We start from the raw sequence: 23583 nt of genomic DNA on the forward strand, positions 1-23583 counted from the left end.
ATTGGTGGGTTCTTGGTCTCACTGACTTCAAAAATGAAGCCGCGGACCCTGGCGGTGAGTGTTAGAGTTCTTAAAGGCGGCGTGTCTGGAGTTTGTTCCTTCTGATGTTTGGATGTGTTCGGAGTTTCTTCCTTCTGGTGGGGTTCGTGGTCTCGCTGGCTCGGGAGTGAAGCTGCGGACCTTCGCGGTGAGTGTTACAGCTCTTAAGGCGGCGCGTCTGGAGTTGTTTGTTCCTCCCGTGGGTTTGTGGTCTCGTTGGCTTCAGGAGCGAAGCTGCAGACCCTTGCGGTGAGTGTTACAGCTCATAAAGGCAGTGTGGACCCAAAGAGTGAGCAGCAGCAAGATTTATTGCAAACAGCGAAAGAACTAAGCTTCCACAGTGTGGAAGGGGACCCGAGCGGGCTGCCACTGCTGGCTCGGGCAGCCTGCTTTCATTCTCGTATCTGGCCCCACTCACATCCTGCTGATTGCTAGAGCCCAGTGGTCTGTTTTGACAGGGCGCTGATTGGTGCGTTTACAATCCCTGAGCTAGACACAAAGGTTCTCCACGTCCCCACCAGATTAGCTAGATACAGAGTGTCGACACAAAGGTTCTCCAAGGCCCCACCAGAGTAGCTAGATACAGAGTGTCGATTGGTGCATTCACACACCCTGAGGTAGACACAGGGTGCTGATTGGTGTGTTTACAAACCTTGAGCTAGACATAAAGGTTCTCCACGTCCCCACCAGGCTCAGGAGCCCAGCTGGCTTCACCCAGTGGATCCCACACCGGGGCTGCAGGTGGAGCTGCCTGCCAGTCCCGCGCTGTGCGCCTGCACTCCTCAGACCTTGGGTGGTCGATGGGACTGGGTGCGCCGTGGAGCAGGGGGCGGCGCTCATCGGGGAGGCTCGGGCGCACAGCAGCACACGGAGCGGGTGGGAGGCTTAGGCATGGCGGGTTGCAGGTCCCGAGCCCTGCCCCGCGGGAAGGCAGCTAAGGCCCGGCGAGAAATCGAGCACAGCGCCGGCGGGCTGGCACTGCTGGGGGACCCAGTACACCCTCCGCAGCTGCTGGCCCGGGTGCTAATCCCCTCATTGCCCGGGGCCGGCAGGGCCGGCCGGCTGCTCCGAGTGCGGGGCCCTCCAAGCCCACGCCCACCCGGAACTCCAGCTGGCCTGCAAGCGCCGCGCGCAGCCCCGGTTCCCGCTCGCGCCTCTCCCTCCACACCTCCCTGCAAGCTGAGGGAGCTGGCTCTGGCCTTGGCCAGCCCAGAAAGGGGCTCCCACAGTGCAGCGGTGGGCTGAAGGGCTCCTCAAGCGCCGCCAAAGTGGGAGCCCAGGCAGAGGAGGGGCCGAGAGCGAGCGAGGGCTGTGAGGACTGCCAGCACGCTGTCACCTCTCACTGTGTTTGTTTCACTTGAAGTCTTTTAACAAAATAAAATAAAATAATTTTACAGCTTGGAGGAGGCTTAGAAGTTATCTGGTCTGATTTTCTCATTTCATAGAGGAAACAAAACTGGAATTCAAGATTAAATGACTTCCCCATTGTCATGCTGGGCTTAGATATGGGGACTCATTACTGCTATGGATATTTTTTTCCTGTTAGAATTGTCTCTCCATATTCCCAGTGTTAATTCAAATAAAGTTTTCACAGACTTTAAAGTTGGCAGGGCATTAGCACTCAACAATGTTATTTTGCAGATGAGAAAAATGAGATCTGGAAAGGTGAAGTAAAACTTATTTAAGAAAATAGAGTAGATATAATTAGTAAGGACAGGCAAAATGATGCTATGTAACAAACAACACTAAAACCTCAGTGGTTTTATTATTTTATTTTATTTTATTTTATTTTTTGAGGCAGAGTCTTGCTCTGTTGCCCAGGCTGGAGTGCAGCAGCATGATCTCGGCTCACTGCAACCTCTACCTCCCAGGTTGAAGCGATTTTCTTGCCTCAGCCTCCCGAATAGCTGGGATTACAGGCATGTGCCACCACGCCCGGCAATTTTTTTTATATTTTTAGTAGAGACGGGGTTTCACCACGTTGGCCAGGCTGGTCTTGAATTCCTGGCCTCAGGTGATCCACCTGCCTTGGCCTCCCAAAGTGCTGGGATTACAGGCATGAGCCACCACACCTGGCCACCTCAGTGGTTTGAAACAACAAAACTACTCATGCTTCCACTCATGTTATATGTTTACATGGATTGACCTAGGGTCTCAAGTTCTACCACCATCCCGTTATTACTATAGGACCCATCCTGATGGGACAGGTACTAACTGGAGGATTGCCAGTAGCAATGACAGGAGGAATATCACGGTGAAACACACACTAGCTTTTAAAACTAACCAGAAATGACATATGCCACTTGTTCTCGTATCATTGGCCCAAATTAGTCATGTGACCATGCCTGAGACCACTCGGACAGGAAATAAAATCATTGGTGTGCTTGTAAATATTTAACCACTGATTTGTAGCCTTTGCTGGTTTCTTGTTATAAACACTCCCTTTATGGCTGTCATCAAGCTATCAACATGATGTCAGTGAATGTGTTGGTGCCAGAGATGTATACAATTGCCCTTCCTTAGCTGATGCAAGCCGGTGAGAGTCAACTCCATAACACCACTAAATAATTCTCTCATTGGAATGATATTGATGAAGAATAATACGTCTATCAAAGAAAAATTGGGTCTGGATGTGGTGGCTCATGTTTGTAATCCCAGCACTTTGGGAGACCGAGGTGGGCAGATCACCTAAGGTCATGAGTTCGAGACCAGCCTGGCCAACATGGTGAAACTCTCTACTAAAAATAAAAAATTAGCCAGGCATGGTGGCACATGCCTGTAATCCAGCTACTCAGCAGGCTGAGGCAGGAGAATCACCTGAACCTGGGAGGCAGAGGTTGCAGTGAGCCAAGATTGTGCCACTGCACTCCAGCCTGGGCGACAGAGCGAGACTCCATCATAAAAAAATACATAAATAAAAGAAATATTGTATATGAAAATAGCAGCAGGGGATATAGAAATAAACACAAATATCAAATCCAGCACGGCAGCTAAATCAGAAGGGAGTCAATGACCCATAGAATGATGAAGTTATGACAGGTCAAACACCTTTACAACACATTTCAAATATTTTTGCTGCATGAATATTTGCACTCTTAGTTATTGTTGCATTAGTAAACAATACCTGGAATTTAAATCTCTTTACCCCAGGTCTTTCTGTTTATACTTGAGATGGGACTAAACTTGTGTGGCCTCCATTATGGATGCATCTCCCTTCAGGTCTCTTCTTTCTTTGAACTATTCCCATTTTATCCAAAATCAGGCGCTGTAGTGAGCCATCTGATAGGAACATCACATTCCCTTTTGTCCCCCTGTAGATAATAAGATGTGCAAAGATGAGCTTTGAATAACCACAGCAATGCCAGATATATACGCATGTGGAAAGTTCTGGGAAGTCTCCACATAAACATCTTAACAAGGAGACATCATTCCTCAATTTGATACCCTTAAAATGGCTTTTAAGGTTATCTTTCATTTTCCTTACCGTATAGCATTATGCAATTCTTTATTTTTTAATTTAATTAATTAATTTATTTATTTTTGTTTTTGTTTTAGAGACAGGGTCTCTGTCTGTCGCCCAGGCTGGAGTGCAGTGGCATGATCATGGCTCACTGCAGCCTTCAACTCCTGGGCTCAAGCCATCCTCCAGCTTCAGTCTTCCAAGTAGCTGAGGCTACAGGTGCATGTCACCACATCCAGCTAATTATTTCATTTTTTAATAGAGATAGAGTCTCACTGTGTTGTCCAGGCTGGCCTCAAACTCCTGGTCTCAAGTAATCCTTCTGCCTCAGACCCCCAAAGTGCTGGGATTACAGGAGTGAGCCACTACACCCAGCCAACATTATATAATTCTATTTACTGTATTCATTCAATGTATCAGAGACGCTTTTAAAAGGAACCTGAGGTTTGAAAAGGGTCAAAATGTCTAGGATCTAGGTTAATAATTTTCTTTAGCTTTTTCTATATATAGTCCGTTTAATAAGATGTAGTTGAAGTAATTCACTAAATCTGTGTGATGTTAACAAGTTGAGAAATTGATGGTTACTGTTCCATTCTTTAGTATCCCCTTAGCACAATCACACAAAAATTGACTGTAATAGCTAGTCCAGGAGCTTAGCAATCAACCCTGAGAGCGGAACGTTTCTCTGTCATCATGGACTTATTGTTGCCATGCCAACAAGAAACTTAGAAGTTGCTTGAGGTTTCAGTTCTCTAGAAACTTACAATCAAAACCAATAATAGCATAAATGCACATCTTGGAATGTAAACTGATTGCACTTTAGAATGATTTTCAACTTACAGACAAAGCATAAAAAGTAAAATTGATCAGTTATAGACCCTCTCCAAATATGGTTTTGGATTTAACCAATACTAATAGTTAAAATTGATTGAGTACTTATTACATAATAAGCATTGACATGTTTTACACACACTATCTCATTTAATTCTCATAGCAACATTAGGAGGTGGGTACTACTATTATCTCCTGTGCTTTATAGAGATGAGAATACTGAAGTTTGGAGAGGGTAAGAAACTTTTCCAAGGTCACAAAGCTAGTGAGAGTATAAGGCTGAGACTCACCATCAGGCAGATGGACTCTAGTGTCCACTCTGTCACCACTATCCTTTTCTACTTCCCATAAAGCAAGAAAGATAGGGCCTGTGCCAGGCAGAGTGAGCCACTGAGGTGGACTGACCATTTAAAGTCAAGAGTATAGAAGTTGAGGGCTGAAAGGACAATTTTAAGCCACTTAATAAATGCTTTGATGTCTTCAAAAGTCTCTTCACTTTTCCTTAGTCCATGCCCACAGTCTATCTTCTTCTAGAAGAGGATTTGAAGCAACCATCATCTCCACTAAATGGTTTTTTCAGCCTGTTTGCACCATGCCAGGAAGGGGACTAGACCCTGCCCTGATGTCTCTTTGGGGCAATGCTAACCCTCAGAATGCATGAATGTTTATAAACTGAAAAATCAGACCTTTTAATTATGTGCTCTGATGCCTACAAAGTAATTCTGTTCCCTTAGAATGGCTCACCCAACTTTGGAAAGCAGGGATCTTCTCCCTCAAAGAGAAGAGGCTTTTCTTCTCCAGCTTAAATAGCCTCAGTTGAGGAATCCTTTATCATCCCTTCTGCTTTCCTCCAGACAACATTCAGTCTGTCGTTTTCTTTTCTCAGTTTAAACTTGATAGTTTGGTTTAGCTTAAAGCATTTCAGGATTATCACTTTTCCCAGTTACCAACGCAAAGCCTCTATTTGGAGAGAACATGGAAGCAAAGCAGAAATTGTGCTCTATTATCCTCTGCCATCCTCAATTCTTCCACTTACAGTGCTCATTCAACATAACAGGGATTCTGTAAGAGGGGGGTGGGGACATGTCCCAGAAGGTCTTCCATCTTGCTCCAAAGAAAATCTCGAAAGTTTAGACCTTCGCTTCAGCCTTACATTATCTTGGTTTTAGCATCTCTGGCTCTATTTCTATAGGTGTGTTTAGTGTTATGTCCTCGCCTTTGCATAGATTGTGACTTTGCTGTCCGATTTTCATTCTCATGGGCTTCTCTTCTGTCTTGAGCCATCTCAGTCTGAGTGATCCTATCTCTCTTTCCTTGGAAACTTGGCGTCAGTCTGAGCATGTGTCAAATCTCACATCTCCTGGAAGTTCCTCATTATTAAGGAGAAATACACCCAAAGTAGCAGTTCCTTTGCCACTTCCTTTATTTTCTGAGAAGTGAAATTGTAAGCCAAACAAGTAAATCTAGACACTTATCAGATGACCTGATTTTCAGATGGAAATTTCCAGAATTTGGGTGTAATTGGAGCCTCTCCTTATTTTCCATAACTTGCTAATGTGCCAATTTTATAATCAATGTCCAGTGCTTTAACCAAATTCTCCAGCATACCCCCACTACAGTACTTCCTTTATTCCTCTCTCTATATCACACACACATATATGTGTTATACATCCATATTTATGTTTATGCATACATGAACACACATATATATTTTTACCCTTATCTAGATTTTTCTTCTATAATTTTATTCTTGTATTAACAGGTTTTCCCAAAGGTTGGAATAACCATATGTTCTAGTTTGCCTGGGATGGTCTTACTTTACTTGTTGTTCTGGGAGTAATTAACAATTAATACATTTCTCTTTTGTTATCAAAAGTGTGCTGGTTTGGGTGATAAATTAAACAATCATCCTATCAAAACTTCCATTCTACATTCTGTGTCCTGTCTCAGAGTCTGAATCCTAAATTGGAAATAGAGAAAAAAAAAATGCCTGCGTCCCCTGGCTCTTTAATTTCCTGACCAGCACTTCCAGCTCTCAGGTTTTTGTTTTGTTTTGTTTTTTGTGTTTTTTTGATATTTAATAGCTGCATGCTCCTGGCTACGTGAAGTCCTTGTAGAGCTGGAGGGTGCCATCTGTCCTGATGTGTCCTTTTCCTCTTGGGTTCTTTGATCTCTGTTTCAACATGCTGATTCCCTGGTTGTTTCATGTGGGGTGTGTGCTCACGGCTGATTTTTACAGGTCTCAATTCACAGTAGCAGGATGGGCTACATCTGTTGTACAGGTGAACTAGCTCTGAATGTCTTCTTGTCTTTCTCTCTTTTTCATCAGTCTGTTTTCTTAGAATCTTGGATATTCTGAATTATTTTCTTTGTTTTGTCCTGGAGTGCTTTGTTGCATGTAACAAGCAGGCATGCACATAAGAATTGTCTCCACCTTTTCATTTGCTCTTCAAGCAGTGAGACCAGCTTGGCTGACTGGCTGCCTCTAAGCAGGAAAAGAAACTCAATGCCACAGTCCATAGAAACAGTCCTCTCTGCTTCTCTACTTCTTGAAATATAAGGTTTATTGAATGTCAAGTTCATGGCTTCTCCCCTGACAACTCCTGGAGCAAGTTCCTCTTTGACCTCTTCCAGGGGGAGGGAGGCAGCACAGGTCAGTGGTCAAGACCATAGCCTCAAAGTCAGAAAACTTTGGGTTTCATTCCTCACTGTTGGCCTCACATAGTTACTTGATTTCTGAGCTGAAGCCTCCTTGCTTGCAAAATGGGGATAACAATTCTTACATGATCGGATTTGAGAAAGAGTTAAATGAGATCATACCTAGAATATGCTGAGTATCGTACCTGGCAATTAATGTATACTTAGTAAATATTTGTTATTCTTATAATTACTATTATTAGTTTTAGTGTCAGAACTATAATGAACTATTGATTCATCAGATTCTATCTCATGAAGGTGACAGCAACCTCTAACACAATGACACGAATCACATGGCCAACAGTGAGGTTTGAAGAGCACCTTTGTTCTGTTCTCCTGGGTGGCTATCAGTGGCTGAGAATGCCAGTCAATCAACCAGCTGATAGACCAAGTGATGAAATAAAAATGATCCTCCAGGAGGAATAAGTTCTAGTATCCTATAGTATTACGGGATGACTATAATAAACAACAATTTATTGTACATTTTCAAATAGCTATTTATTGTACATTTTCAAATAGCAAGAAGAACAGATTTTGAATGTTCTCAACAGAAAGAAATAATAAATGTTTAAGGTGATGGTTATGCTAATTACCCTGATTTGATCATTACACATTGTATACATGTATTGAAATATCACACTGCACCCCATAAATATGTATAATTATGTATCAATTAAAAATAATGATGATAAAAATGATTCTCTATGTGTGAGTAATTGGAGTGGCTTTTTTATTTTTTTTTGAGATGGAGTCTCACTCTGTTGCCCATCCTTCATCTTCTGGGTTCAAGTGATTCTCCTGCCTCAGCCTCCCTAGTAGCTGGGATTACAGGCATGCACCACCACACCCAGCTAATTTTTGTATTTTTAGTAGAGATGGGGTTTTGCCATGTTGGCCAGGCTGGTCTGGAACTCCTGACCTCAAGTGATCCACCCGCCTTGGCCTCCCAAAGTGCTGGGATTACAGGTGTGAGCCACCTGTAATTCGTGCCCAGCCCCTGGAGCGGCTTTAATTTTTGTTTTGCATATGCTTCCCTTTTTAACTCAACAAGAAATAACATCCACTGTAGCTTTTCTTCTAGAGGATGGATAACATGGAAAGAGTGATGGGTGAAGAGAAGCCAAGATTTCAAGTTGATCTTGAATTTGTAGCCTGATCAAATGGAATCTTCTATGAAGGTCTATTGCTATGCCTAAGAGTGTGAACTCCAAGCGAAATTTGAGTGTTTCTGCTCACTTACATTTTCCCTTGGAGGTCAGGAGAAAGACCCCCAATTCCCAACACTCCTCTTCCCTAGATTCCCAGTTCCTTGATTTTCTTCCCATTACACATTGTTTTCCAGGTACTATCCCAGTTAGTGCCCATAACCAGTGGAATCAGTGCTTACTAGAAGGGCCTTTGACGACTCCTTTCAGCTGGCAAACTAATTAGAGGATCCTGTTTTCCTTCTGTAGCCCCTACTACTCATTACATGAAGCTTTGTATGTATGTAGCATTATTTCTTTTTATAGCCAACCTCATTTTTTATTTTACACTGTTTGATTATCTGATTATTTCTGAGCAACATCTCTAGGTAGGAAAAAAATGGATAAACTGAGGCTCAAAATGCTTAACTAACTCCCTGAAGATCTTACAATGAGTCAGGGAGTGAGACAGGAATAGAAACCATGATGCTAGCCTTCTAAACTGTTTTTCTGACCACTAGACCACACTTCCTCTCCAGACTATGAAACACTGGAAAATGGGACTCAGGCAGCGAGTAAATATGGAGGCAAACCCACAGAAACACAATTTTACTTGTACCCAAATCATGTCATTTAGCAAAGGAAAACAGCAAAACACCCCAGTCTTTTCGATGTCATCCAAAATTATAATCTAAACCCACAATGGATATAGAATAGGAAATGAGTCTGCCCTGAATTGACATTTTTCCATTTAAAATAAATTTGAAAAAATTTCAGTCCTGATATGTTTTTCCTTTATATGAAAGAAGGATCTAAATATTCAGTTTGATATAGATTTCACGGTATACAAATAAAATACCTTTATGACTCTCATTCTTTGCACAATAAAAGCCTAACCAACAAATATTTATTGAGTATTTAAGGCTTTGTGGGAACAGCAGGTATATTAGACATAGTTATTGTCTTTAGACTCAAATTTTATTTTAGTCTATTTTTATTTCAATGGCAAAATGGCAATTACTTTCGCACCAACCTAATAGTTGGACAGAGAATACACATACCCATGAAGAGCTGAAGACAGCTGACGATGAATAGCAACTAAGGAGGGTGATAAGGAAGCAGCCTGTGACGTGCAATGGTGAACACCAAAGCGACATGTACAAAGATTTCGGTTTATGTCCCAACTGTACCACCAGCTAACTCTTCATCGTAGCTGAATCAGATCTCAGATCCTATGCATCAACAGACAGCGATAGCAATTGCTGGCTTTGTCTGCCCACAGCGTTGGTGTGGAAGCCAGCATGAGAAAATGCATGTAAAAAGGGCAGTGAGCTGGAAGATGAAATACGGGTGGTATCCGAATCATATTAAGGTTGCCCAGGCAAGCCTTCTCCCTTTGGGTTTAGAATCTCCAATGACATAGCTTTTGAAGACTGTTCGTCATGCCCAAATGGAAATTAAAACAAGAAATTAAAAACAGTCTCCTCTGGAAATTATTTTTGGCGATGAGAACAGAAAACCACACGATATTTTCCCTTTGGCAAATAGTTCCTTGTCTCATCACTTGGAATATGTGTGAGTGAGAGGTATCTGAACACCTCGTGTGAAATCTTCTGATAATGAGTGTGAAGAGAGGACTTTTCCATTTGGAAGAGCAAGGCATGCAATTTGGGGAAACTGAGTCCTTAGACTGTGACAGAGAATGCCAAAAAGCCCTCCCACCTGTGGTTCCCAGGAAGCAACGACAACAGTACTTCATCACAGAGGCTATGTGGCAAGCAACAAGAATCCTGGAATGACCTTTTCATGGAAACAAGCTTGAAGCTATGTTCTGGGCTTCCATCTGTGGATAAAGATGGGTATTGTTGATATGGGAAACTTGAGAAAAGGCAGGAATTTACTTTAAAACTTTTAAAGTTACTTTTAAAATTAACTTAAACAATTTTACTTTTGCAATTAGACAGGGACAACTTACCACAGTTATCCTTAATTTATAAACTGCCAGGACATTTTAATTTTAGAAGATCATTAAGATTTTTCTTACTGGAGAAAACAACTAACATTAAAACTTTTAAGATCCTTTGACTAATCTCTGCTTACATTGTCACTTTTTGTATAGTAGTAGTTCATTACACTTTATATTTAACAAAAAACAGATTTTTTTACATTGACTTTGCCACCTTTATAATGATATCAAAAGACTAAGTTATCTTCTATCTAAAATAAAGGAATTAGAATACAATCCCTGTCTTTTTCTTGGGATAGTGCATGGCCCAATGTAAGAAGAATTGCAGAGCTCTCGTGCCAAAAGTAGAATAATGGGCAACATTTAGAAAACAATGCCCTGGCGCCTGCCAGCCCTCATGCACATGTTTTAAGGGTATAATTTGTATGAAAACCCTTGTGGGTGGGTCATAATATATTAGCACCATCTAGTGGTGATGGGCAAAGCTGTCTCTCTTCACCAGCCCCGCCCTACCTCTCAAACAAGTCACAGCCAAAGCAGAGCTGATTGTGCTCTATTTATAGCCTTTGACCTAAATTTATTGCCACTGTTCACTCTGAAAATTAAAGGTGCTGCACAACTGGATTAAAAAGATGGAGAAGTGTGAACCTAAGTGTAATGATAATACTACTTGCATTATAATGATCGCTTGTGTTTATTGAGCACTACATACATGATCAATGTCGTACACAATGCTTTTCATAATCATCTTACTCCATCGGCACGAGAATCTGTTTGGCATCTGTTATCATAATTATGCCTATTTTACAGGTTAGGAAACTGAGGTCCAGAGAGTTTTACTTACCTAGGTTACACATTCAGTATTTAGAAGACAAAAACCTTCCTTGGCTCACTGACTCTTCAGGTTGGTACCGTGAGACGCACCATCACTAGGATGCTATGGAGTAGGAGGAGCTCGGGAGCTTCCACAAACTGAGAAAGCACCTGCAGAAAGGGAAGCAATGGAGCACACTAATTAAGGATACGCACTCCAGGGTCCAACTAGAACGGGGTTCGAGTCATGACTTAACCAGTTATTAATTCTGTGTCCTCGGTAAAATTACAATATCTTCTTAGAACCTCAGTTTCTTCTTCTGTAAAATGGAGATAATAATACATTATTCATGGGGGAGGAGTTGGGAGTATTAGTTGAGATATGCATGCATAGGGTGTGGTTCATAGGAGCCATTGAGGGGCTATTATTATATTTCTATTTTAATTTTTTTAGATTTTGTATATTTCTCTTTTAATTTATTTGAATGCAAAAATCAAACAGTGATCAGAGTCGTCTATCTCTCTCCTAAGGTCTCAAAACACTCATTCTGTGTATGGAAAGAAATGGAACAAGAAGGATTTGTTTTAGTGTACAATAGCAAATTGATGTGGAGAGGAAAGTAATGTAACTGCATACCTTAATCTGTAGCTTTTTATGGAATGAAGGAGTAACTTGTTCATCAATAGACAGTGTTGCTGCCATTGGCAAGTCTTGCTCACATGCAGAGTCCAGAGAAGGTTCACACAGTGGTCAAGTGGCTCTTCTGGACTGTGCAGAGGTGGAGATGTGGGAATGATCCCTGTTTCCTCTTGAGGCTACACCCTTGCAGGAGGCACTTGGCTTATATTTTCCACTCTCAGAGCACTGCAGGTAGTGACCACCATGGTTCAGCAGAGAAATCTCTTTCCTTGGAATTCTTCCTTCTTTCTTTGTGCTCTTGTCTGTGCTCATTCAGCAAAGACTGGGTTTGCTGCTGGAGGGGCTGAGAGCATGGGGTGAGTTCAGGGGGAATTTAGATCTGGAGGTGAAAGTCAGGATGTGAGTGTAACATGTGTGGGGGGAGCTGGTCTCAGTGTGGCTTATCTAAAAGAAAATCAGAGCCTTACCACTGCTCAGGAAAGCCAGGAGAGCCAGACCCCTTTCTGTTTCGCTTGGCGTGACCATAGCTCCATTCCTGCTCTATCCTTTCTTTCTTTCCCTTTCTTTCTTTCTTTCTTTCTTTCTTTCTTTCTTTCTTTCTTTCTTTCTTTCTTTCTTTCTTTCTTTCTTTTTCTTTCTTTCTTTCTTTCTCTTTCTTTCTTTCTTTCTTCCTTCCTTTCTTTCTTCCTTCCTTCCTTTCTTTCTTTCTTCTTTCTTTCTTTCTTGTTTTCTTCTTTCTCTTTCTTTCTTTCTCTTTCTCCTTCCTTCTTTCTTTCCTTCCTTCCTTCTTTCTTCCCCTCCCTCCCTTCCCCCCTCCCCCCTTCCTTCCTTCCTTCCTTCATTTCTTTCTCCTTCCTTCCTTCCTTCTTTCCTTCCTGCCTGCCTGCCTGCCTGCCTGCCTGCCTGCCTTCCTTCCTTCCTTCCTTCCTTCCTTCCTTCCTTCCTTCCTTCCTTCTCCTTCTCCTTCTCCTTCTTCTCCTTCTTTATCTTCTTCATCTTTTTTTTTTTTTTCCGAGATGGAGTCTCTCTGTCACCCAGGCTGGAGTGCAGTGGTGTGATCTTGGTTCACTGCAATCTCCACCTTTCAGGTTCACAGGATTCTCCTGCCTCAGCCTCCCAAGTAGCTGGGACTACAGGCACATGTCACCATGCCAGGCTAATTTTTGTATTTTTAGAAGAGACAGGGTTTCTCCATGTTGGTCAGGCAGGTCATGAACTCCTGGCCTCAAGTGATCTGCCTGCCTCAGCCTCCCAAAGTGCTGGGATTACAGGTGTGAGCCACCACGACTGGCCTGATCCTGCTGCTTCTGTAGCCCAAGCTCTTTGAATACAGAGTGTGCCTCAGGTGAATATCATGATGTCATATCACCTGTAATGCACTCTCTACCCAGTAGTCAGAGATGCCTGCTGCAAACAGGAGTCTGATAAAGTCACTTTCTTGCCTGGACCCATATGGTGATTTCCCATTGCTTACTAAAATGTGATTTTACTACACCTAATCTAAATCTTACTAGATCTTACTAAAATGTGAAAAATCTGTAACTTGACTTAGCAGGGCCATGTGTGATGTAACTCCTGCCTACTTCTCCACACTCATCTTCAGCTTCATCTGGCCCTCTCAGCTTCCTCCTCATACTCCAGATACCGTGTTCCCAGAATGCCCCAAGCTCCTTCTCACTGCAGGGCCTTTGTATATGCTGTTTCCACCACTTGGACAGTCTTCACTAGATTCTCTGGTACTTATCCTTGGACACGTGACTTCCCAAACCTTGTTGCATATTAGCATTGCCTAGGGAGCTTAAAAGTATCCCGATACCCAGGCTTCACCCCATGCCAGTTCAATCAGAATCTCTGGAGTAAACAGCCAGGCAAAAGCATTTTTTAAAGGCTTTGCAGGCAATTTCAATGTGTAGGCAACTTTGAGAACCAGTTCTTAGCTTAACTGTTTTCTTCTTACGGATAGCTCTTGTCCTCATTTCCCTGTCTAGCTTGGATTCCCTCATTAAATGTTCCCATAGTAGTACTCTGTATGTTTTCAACAAACACTCTGTATTTGTTCAGTGTCTCTCCCACTAGACTGTAAGCTCCACGAGGCTGTATCTACTGTGTTCACTTCTTTATTCCTAGTTTGTAGCACAGAGCCCAGCACTTAGGAGGTGCTCAAGAAATAACTGTGAAAAGAATGAAAGCTCTAATGTGGATTGCTGATGGTTCTCTCCAGAGGATGGGGAGCTGTAGTTTGGTTATCTGGCTCAGGCTTGTGCATCCACATGGTGAGTCTATGACAGGTCAATATGAAGAGGGGGACCTCCCCATTGGGGAGATGACCACAATTCCATGGGAAGAACATTTTCCTGCCTCTGGGAATGCATCTATTCTAGATCATGGCAAGGACTAGAAATATCAAGGGTTACATGTGACCACTGGGCTGCCCTCCCACAACTGTATTGGTCTATTACCTTATTTTTAATTTGTCTTTAGCAGAGAATATTTACCAAGAAATATATTTTCAACACTCAACAGCCAAAGAATATTCCCATTTGACTGCTGAATATTGACAGTGTATTTCTTGGTGTATATTCCCTGCTGAAGACAATGAATTAAGAGTAAGTTAATAGGCCAATGCATTTGCTGGAGAGTAGTCTTGTAACATCAATATAACCTTAGAATGTGCTTTACAGAGAGCAGAAATAGGTTTAGTTTATGCCTTCAACGTGCCATCTTGAAGGATAGCATAGATATGTGCTCAGAAGGATAAAAAAATTAAAGACATGGTTTTTATGTATAGTACACTGTACAATTAAAGCACATTAGGTGCACGACAAGACAATCCTGAAGTCCATTTCAATTGTGTGTATTTTCTTTTTTGCATCCCCTTCTACAGATTTGTTGCATGATATTACAAACATGGAAAATATCTTATTGAAAGGGAATCTAAAAAGTCATAATATCTAATGAATAGACGTCGGAACATCATTTGCCAGTAGATACTGTTTCAGACCCTTTCTGCAACTGTGGATGATTCATTTTATGCTGGTGTCTCAGTTTCTCCACCCCTAGAACAAGAGTAATAAAATTGGCCTTTAATTAAAGTCTCTATTATTTTTTTTAAGGCTCCAGGGAAGTTAGGTCCAATGGAAAAATGAAATACTTGAGGATATGACTTAGTCTGTGCTAAGAGTTTTATAGGCAGCTCACCAAAGATTTTTTTCCAAGTGATTTGCACGATATGCAAAATGTATTTTAAGCCAAATGTCTCGGACCGGGCGACATGCACAATAACCTGTCCCAAAAGCAATTATCACATCAGGACACACCCACTGGGATTCAATGCTCCTATTTAAAGTCTGTCCAAACACTACAGCCCACATCTATAATGGCTTTGGCAGAAGGGTGAGAACCAGCATCTGCAAAAACCTTATTTAACTGAGCAGGAAATGGATGTTTTCCGTACTAGAGTTTTAAAAGTCAAGAAATACCTATTTTGTGAACAGGATTTAGGATTTCATCCCTACAAGAAGAAGAAGTGAGAGCAAATGGACAAAAATTAATTCCATAAAGAAATCACAGCTCTCCTGCCCATTTTCCAATGGGAATTGAGGGTTATTTGTTGAACACATCGTCTTGGGAAGTAATCTCCTTAAAACACAGGGATTGTCCTAAGCATGCAAACATATTTTGATCTCTCTAGATTTCTGAGATCTTAAGTATAGGGTCGGCTCAGGCTTTGCCTTTTTCAGAAAGTCTTTGTTAATAACTCCTCTCCTGTGCCCTCTGGGTTAGAAGTTCTTTTATACTGCATACCTATCACTGGGTTTCCATATTGTTTTAAAATTGTCCTCTTCTCCATTAGATTGTGTCACTAACAGTCGTGCATACAACTTCATTCATGCTCCTGCTGTGCCCAGCAAAGTGTTGTTTAGTAAGTGATTGCTATATAAGTGAAGAGAGGAAAGAGGACTGCCGTGGCCATTCTGCACTTGGCAGAGTGTAGGTGGGGATATTTGGAATCCAAGCAAATAAAGTCAGGCAAGGGCTGCTCTTGTTTGTGCATGACTAATGTGTCCCGCTCGGTTGCGTCATCCAGAGGCTGAGTGTCTGGCATGCCGGGAAGCGCTGTGGTTCCCTGCAGGCGGTGTGTTCTGGCCCTGCTGGATTCTTGTAGTGGCCTGCTGCAGTGATGTGGGAAGGTGGGAGGAGGCACACAGTGAAGCCCAGAGCCACTTCCAAATAATCACAGCCTGTCCTCTTTAAGGGCTTCTTTTTTCTTACCTTTAAAAGAAAATACTGCCTTAACACATCATTCTTTAAATTCTTTTCTAAGAGGAAAGAAACATCGACAATCACTTAAAAAAGATGGTCGAGAGTTATTCTGTTTCAGTGTGATTCCAGGGGAAAGCTGTCTTGGTCCAAAGCCCAGGAGGTCTTTGGTTTTCTGTGGAAGATGCACGGTAGAGGTCTCAGAGTTAAGGGTGGAATGTTTAGGCCAAGGCATATCAGCTGGTGGGCTAAGGATGCTGCGTCACAGTGAGGCTTTTGGCATCGTCATCAAAGGTGGTTTGATGGAGGGCAGAGGAAAAAGATGGAATCCTTCAAAGCCATGATAGTGGACTTGGGAAAGGGGATGAAAATTAAAATAAAAGAATCAACACAGATGTCTTGGTTTCTTAAACTAAAGAAGTGTGGGGTATAATTGTTTTCCCAAGGAAAGCTCAAATTCACTGGAAAATATGCATGATTTACATAACTATGGTGTATTTAAATTACTTCAATTCTTAAAATATTAAGATAAACTTTTATGTGAGGAGAGTGCCTTTATTTAAAACTGTTGCAAATTACATCGATGACTTTCTATAACCGTGGTAGACATGTTCATTTCACATAAAAGAATAGACCTGTCAGTATTCATGGAAGGCTGACTTCTGCCCAGCTTTATCTGTGATGATTCAGTTCCTTTGGCTCAGACCCAAGAAACATCAACCTTTGTAACTCTCTGCCCCTTTGTATTTACTTTCTAAAACTGTGACATTTGCCAAGGGGGTAAATGAAACTCAATAGCAGCAGCTAAACTGCTTGTCCATAAAAAGACATTGTTTTGAGTAGAAAAGGAATTTTAAAACGTATTAATTGACATGTTGTTGCTGCAACAATAAAGAATAAGTTAATAATTTCTGTGCTCATACTGTAGCTTGTTTTCTTTTTCTTAAATTTATACTGTAGCTTATTTTATATAAACTTTGGTTTTTAGGTCATGTTCTTACCAATCAACCCATGAATAGTAGGACAAAATATTACCCAAGCCAGCGCCAGCATATTTTATACACCTAAGATATGAGGCTTTTATACTGAATGGGAGGTTCCCTTATAGAAGAGTTATAGGGGCGGTGGCTATATATATATAATCTTCTCTCTCTCTCTCTATATATATATATATATATACTCTCTCTCTATATGATATATATTATATATATGTATAAAATCCACTATGTGTCAGGTGCCACACTAAATACTTTATATTTCATTTATTCTTCCCAACAGCCCAACAAAGAGGTATTGCTAGTTGGACATGCAACAGATGTCTACATGTGAAAACAGATCCAAAGAGGGTGAGAGACCTGCCCCAGGTGCCATGGTTTGTTGGTAGCGGAGCTGAGATTTGAATGGAGATCTAGCGTCCACCTCAGCTTGAGTTCTTACCCACTTCAATAGAGTGTTTCTCATAAACAAAGCCCTACATGAGGCACAAAAGATGTTTATAAGACATTTGCACTGTAATTTAGGAAACAAACCCAAACAAAACAATGAATACACAGGAAAGCAGCATCAACATAATAAGCTGTGCTGTATATAATAATAATAATAATGATAATGATACAGGAAGCCGTGCTGTATCTATCTCAGGTGTAATAATAATAACATGGGAAGCCATGCTGTATCTCATATCTTAGCTTACACATCTTTATTTGCAAGCCAATGCAAAGTGAATTTGAAGCTACTTTTTGGATGGTGTCATTTCTTTCTAGAATATTTAAAAATAGAATCGCTTCTCAAAAGGCCTATGACATTTGAAAGATTCAGATTTTCGTGTTTCTTATGAGGATGGGAAATTGTTAATGCTCCATAATTGACACAGATTGGGGAGGGGTGAAAGATAATGGGCAGAGGAGGATTACGCAGGAGGAGTTTGAAGGTTGAGGGTCTGGTCCTTTTTTCCTCCCTTCTTTCCTAACCCCAAAAGTGAAAGTGGAGAAGAAATAGTTTGATGGGCATGAGGCACCCACTGAGCACCTTTCAAAATGATTCTGCTGCATTCTCATGGGTGTTAAAATGTCCTGAAAAGAAAGCATGGCTCCTTAAAGAAAAACTATATAGTGTTTTTTTTACATTCATAATGGCTACTGGCCATTAAAAGCACTTGGCTTGGAAAGATATTCACTTATTGGTAGATGAAACAGCCCATCATGAAACAGTAAGATCCCACTATTGGGAAACGCATCCAGAGGGCGGGACAGACACATGAATGTTATTGTAGTGGTTTGCTAGGGCTGCCACGACAAAGCACCACAGCCTGGGTGACTTAGATAATAATCCTAGAGGTTAGAAGTTTGAGATCAAGGTGTCAGCAGGGTTGCTTTTTTCTGAGGCCCGTAAGAGATGGACACCTCTTCCCTTTGCCTTCATATGGTCTTCCCTTTATACAGGTCTGTGTCCAAAAATTTCTTCTTCTTCTTTTTTTTGAGACAGAGTCTTGCTCTGTCACCCAGGCTGAAGTGCAGTGGTGCGATCTCGGCTCACTGCAACCTCCACCCCCTGGGTTCCAGGGATTATCCCGCCTTAGCCTCCCAAGTAGCTGGGACTACAGGTGCATGCCATCAGGCTCAGCTAATTTTTTGTATCTTTAGTAGAGATGGGGTTTCACCATTTTGGCCAGGCTGGTTTTGAACTCCTGACCTCAAGTGATCTGCTTGCCTTGGCCTCCCAAAGTGCTGGAATTACAGGCATGAGCCACTGTTCCAGACCAAAAATGTCTTCTTCTTGTAAGGACATCAGTCATATCTGATTTGGGTTCTCCCTAATTATCTCATTTTCATGAAATACCTCTGTAATATCTCCAAATAGGATTGCATTCTGAGGAACTAGGGGTTAGGTCTTCAAGATATGAATATCTGGAGGTATCATCAGTCCACAGCAAGCATCTGGATGCGGAGCCAGGGTGCCAGCCCTCGCTTTGCTGGGGCAAGCAGGCAGTGCTGTCTGCAGGGCAGTGCGTTCTGGGCAAGGAGGACTCACTGGGTCCACCTCCCACCCCAGTCAAGGAAATTGGAAGACTCCATGTCTTGGTTAACTGTCTGAAAATTCAGTTAATTCTTGGATTTCAGATTTCTTAACCCAGTTACAATAACTTTTTGATATGTACTCTTGAAAAGAAAGACTTCTTGAAAGTCATTGTGAAAACAAAAATTCAACTCCTTCAAAAAGCACTAAAAGCAGTGTAATAAACAAAAATGGGGTGGAGGTTGCAGAGTTGAAGGAAGATGTACTCACAAACTATGGTTCCACAGATATTTTTCAAGGGCCTGCCAGCATGAAGGCAGCAGATGAGGCTCTTGGGATGCAAAGAGGAATCAGACAGAATCCTTGCCCTCAAGGCACAGGTGGAGAAGGAAGATGAACAGAGTTCCAGGGCTGTGGGATGAGGGCTGTCCTAGAGGTACCTCCTGACAGGCATGGACAGGTGGACAGGAGTGTTCCAGGTGGAGGCCATGGGATAGGCAGAGGCAGAACAGGGCCTGCTGAAGTTTGGAAACTGGGAATACTTTGGCCTAGTTGGGGAAGTGGAGGATGGAGGGGAGAGGTGGGCCTCAGACCTTGCAAAGGATGTTAGACTGTGCTGCAGATGGGATGAATCCTTTAAAGATTGAAAGCAGGTGCTCAGAAAGAGGTACTGGTGTGCAGGAGGGGGACAGGAGCTGGTAAGTGAGAACACAGAGTCTATCTAATAGGTTCTTGCAAGAGTTAAGGAGAATCATGAGGAAGGCTTGGACAAATTATTGCAGATGGTGTTAAAGAAAAAGCTATTCGCTGATACTTGTTAAAGCACAATATGGAAGACTTCAGTCTGGACGGTCACCATAGGTATAGGGACCATGGCAATGGGATTTTGCAGTGGCAGAGAGAGATAGGACTCAATTCCAAATATGGCACAGGCAAGTGGCAATTTAGAGCAAAGGATTGGGGTCCAGGTCAGTGGATGGAAAAGTACTGAGAGGTAACATCAGGAGTAAGAGAGGAATTCTGGTGAAACTGACCATATAGGATTCTTGCTGAAGACAGGCCAGGATGATCAGACACCACTTGGGGAATGGTAGGGGATGAGGAACCTGATCATATATTGAAGGTGGGGGATTCTTGCTAAAGTGACTTAGTAGGGTTCTTGTTAAAACTGGATTTTAAAAGGAAATGTACAGATGGGCTCAGGAGAAGGTTCAGGAGTCTGACTAAAGTTTGGTCCAGCAAAGAATCACTGTCCACTGAGAGAGGGGGTAAATATTAGAGACATTTAGAAATAGAATCAGGGCCGGGTACGGTGGCTCATGCCTGTAATCCCAGCACTTTGGGAAGGCCAAGGCGGGCAGATCATGAGGTCAGGAGATGGAGACCACCCTGGCTAACATGGTGAAACCCCATTTCTGCTAAAAATACAAAAAAAAAATTAGCTGGGTGTAGTGTTGTGTGCCTGTAGTCCCAGCTACTCAGGAGGCTGAGGCATGAGAGTCGCTTGAATCCAGGAGGCAGGCAGAGGTTGCAGTGAGCCGAGATTGAGCCACTGCACTCCAGCCGGGAGACAGAGCGAAACAACTCCATCTCAAAAAAAAAAAAAAAAAAAAAAAAAAAAAAAAAAAAAAACCAAAAAACAAAGAAATAGAATCAGAAACTTGATGACTGTTGGGAAGTGAAGAATGAGAGAAAGAAAAGAGTCTAGAATGTACAGTATTCAGTGACATTTATCTAACCAGGATTTAGTGAACTTCCACCCTGTGACAGTTACGGCATCAGACTTTGAGAACACAATGGTAGGTGAGATAAATCAGGTTCCTGTTATCACAGGACTGAAGTCAAGTGAGGATGGACGGTGACCAAACACCCAAATACAGTGGAGTGAGAGATGAGATGGTGGAATGCCTTCCAGATTTCTGTCTTGGCATCTGCTGGGACCACCAAAGTTAGAAAGCCCAGAAGACAGAAGAGAACCAGCCTGGTTTTGGATTTGTTAGGTTGAAGGTGAAATATGCAGAATGTGATGCATTATTTCCTGCCACTGGAAAATACAACTATTCTTCCAAAAGGGAGTCTTCTTAAAGGGAAGAAAAAATATTGAGGAATTTCAGACATCCCTAGTTTTGCTCTAGAGTATATATTTGAGGAACAATGTTGCCCTCTAGTGTTCATCTCTGTGTTTTTATTCCATGCTGGGAAGGGTAGAGAAGAGTCCAGGCAAAGTCAAGTCTGCCTTCTTATTTCTGGTCCTAGTGACACTTTTATAAGTGAGGTTTTCCATTTTCACAGAAGTGAAAATATTACTAGTGCTTTCTTTTGGTTACGATAAATATTCCAATAATTGGGAGAGACCATGAAAGAAACCATTTTGATCAATGGCAGAAAGCTTGTGTACCTAGCAGATCTTTGACATGGGGTCAGAGCCAACCCAATGTCCAGTGACAGCTAAACACAGTTTACACTGTTTTTGGGTGTTTGTAAAATGTTCAGGTTTCCCTTAGCATCAAGTGCTAGGTACCTGACATATATGTGGCAAAACTTTATACTGACTATATATAATTTGGATTTTTATTAAAGTCATTCTTTCAAAATAATTTTTTGAAATAAAATAATTTTTAACTGTAATTTTTTTCTCATCTTGCTATGAGTATGATCAAATAAATTTTTATTTTGAACTTATAAGGAGATTGTCTTTTGAGAAGTAGAAGTCAAGATGGTAATACTATTCTTTGTTAATCATTAGAGGAAAAGGGCTATATGAATAAAAATCTGGCAGTATATGTCATGTGCTGTGGCACACACCTGTAGTCCCAGTTACTTGGGAGGCTGAAGCCGGTGGATCACTTGAGCCCAGAAGTTTGAGGCCAGCCTGGGCAACATTGCAGGACTTCCATCTCTAGAGTAACAACCACCACAATAACAAAACTGGTGACAGAAAGGCAGAGTCTGCAGTGTGTACTCTCCCCTCCCCCTCTTGAAATTTTCCTGTAGAAGCTGTGAACATCCCAGGCCTCTCTGGCTCATGAAAAACTGTGTAATTGTGTAACATATAAAAGCTCACAGCATGGGCAGCCAGACATACCTGGATGAGCCCTGGATTTGCTAGTTTTCGCTGAGCTATTGGGCAAGATGTGTAAACCCTCCAAGTCTCAGTTTCTGGAAAATGGAAACAGTAATTGAATTTATCTTCTAGAGATGTGAGGACTAAACACGATGAAGTATGTAAAGTATGTAAAGCATTTAGCTCAGTATCCTTTAACCATTAACAAAGGAGAACATGACACATAATGAATTGTTTGCAATAGCGAGTTTTGCTAACAAGTAAAAGGGGACTCCAGAATAAAATAAGAATCATTTTTTGCCTTTGGAATTATTGTCAGCAATGATATCAATATACATTCTAGATCCTAAAGCAAATTCTATAACCCAAACTGTAAACCCCTTATTCTGTCTCTTGTGAGCAAAACAGCCATGACTTTTGTTCTCTGCACTGAGCAACTTACTCTTTTCTGTTCCTTCCAAAATTGCCACTATTGCTAAAACTTATGAACCATATATGCAATCCAGAGTTAACCCTTTTATAGGAGTAGATCTCCCCTTTTTCATGAATATGATTACATTTCCTGACTCTAGAAACTCCTTTGCCTTTTAATTTCCAGCTGATCCATTGTTTAGGATTATCTTCCCATCAAAGTTGGCTCATGATGTCTTGCCTATCTTTATTATTTTCCATGGATGTTGGAACAAATTTTCTCTCTTTTTTTTTTTTTTTGAGACAAAGTCTCGCTCTTGTCTCCCAGGCTGGAGTGCAGTGGCACGATCTCGGCTCACTGCAACCCCCACCTCCCGGGTTCAAGTGATTCTCCTGCCTCAGCCTCCTGAGTAGCTGGGATTACAGGCTCCCATCACCAAGCCCAGCTAATTTTTGTACTTTTTTTAGTAGAGACAGGGTTTCGCCATGTTCCCAGGCTGGTCTCGAACTCCTGACCTCAAGTGATCTTCCCGCCTTGACCTCCCAAAGTGCTGGGATTACAGGCGTGAGCCAGCGTGCCCGGCCAGAACAAACTCTCAAGTAACTTAATTTTTTCTTTGAATATAGTCTTGAATCAATGGGGGCTGGGGGTTGGGGAGGTGTATCAGTCTATCAGCCTGATATGATGTAACATGCATCTTTTCTACCAAGCCTCTTTCTGGGAGCTTATGGAAACTTTAGTGTGCTGAGGAATGAGATTGGAAATCATCCTTTCCAGCAACCACTGATCTTAGTGACTCTGCACCACTTAAGACTCTTCCAGTTGAATGTTACAGGAGCCCACCTCCAATTAGCTTGAGTAGCTAAGGGAATCTTTGGGTTCCAGAGACTTGTGTCTACAGTAAAATCACTTTAGGGATATCTTGATCTAAGTGCTCAAACAATACTATCAGGATTCTATCTGGGGTTTGGCAGGAGTTCCCGTGTCCATTGTATGGCATACACAGTTATAATTTTGTCTTCATTGTTATGTTTTAAGATTCAGTCTCCAGAAGAGCAATGTATCTAATATTGGGTCTCTTCCAGCTTTGTGAATGAAGAGTTCATCTCCCAGACATTTCTTGAATGCTGCTCACTGCCTATGGGAGAGCTTTGGCTTTTGAATGTGCTAGACAAGGCTGGCCACATCATTCATAGGGCTCA

The 23583-nt window shown here is 41.9% G+C and overlaps 4 annotated features.

Annotated features, from left to right (window-relative positions):
* Nucleotides 28-207: an enhancer, noted in NCBI's record as "active region_22418". NCBI's record gives its function as "activates an Ori minimal core promoter by ATAC-STARR-seq in GM12878 lymphoblastoid cells {active_cell/tissue: GM12878}" and the evidence as "EXISTENCE:reporter gene assay evidence [ECO:0000049][PMID:35858748]".
* Nucleotides 218-327: an enhancer, noted in NCBI's record as "active region_22419". NCBI's record gives its function as "activates an Ori minimal core promoter by ATAC-STARR-seq in GM12878 lymphoblastoid cells {active_cell/tissue: GM12878}" and the evidence as "EXISTENCE:reporter gene assay evidence [ECO:0000049][PMID:35858748]".
* Nucleotides 3609-3789: a silencer, noted in NCBI's record as "fragment chr5:14996706-14996886 (GRCh37/hg19 assembly coordinates)". NCBI's record gives its function as "represses an EF-1alpha promoter that drives an FKBP-Casp9 reporter gene in an ReSE screen in HepG2 liver carcinoma cells {active_cell/tissue: HepG2}" and the evidence as "EXISTENCE:reporter gene assay evidence [ECO:0000049][PMID:32094911]".
* Nucleotides 4093-4142: an enhancer, noted in NCBI's record as "active region_22420". NCBI's record gives its function as "activates an Ori minimal core promoter by ATAC-STARR-seq in GM12878 lymphoblastoid cells {active_cell/tissue: GM12878}" and the evidence as "EXISTENCE:reporter gene assay evidence [ECO:0000049][PMID:35858748]".

This window comes from Homo sapiens, chromosome 5 (assembly GCF_000001405.40).
Source record: "Homo sapiens chromosome 5, GRCh38.p14 Primary Assembly".
Taxonomy (NCBI): Eukaryota; Metazoa; Chordata; class Mammalia; order Primates; family Hominidae; genus Homo; species Homo sapiens.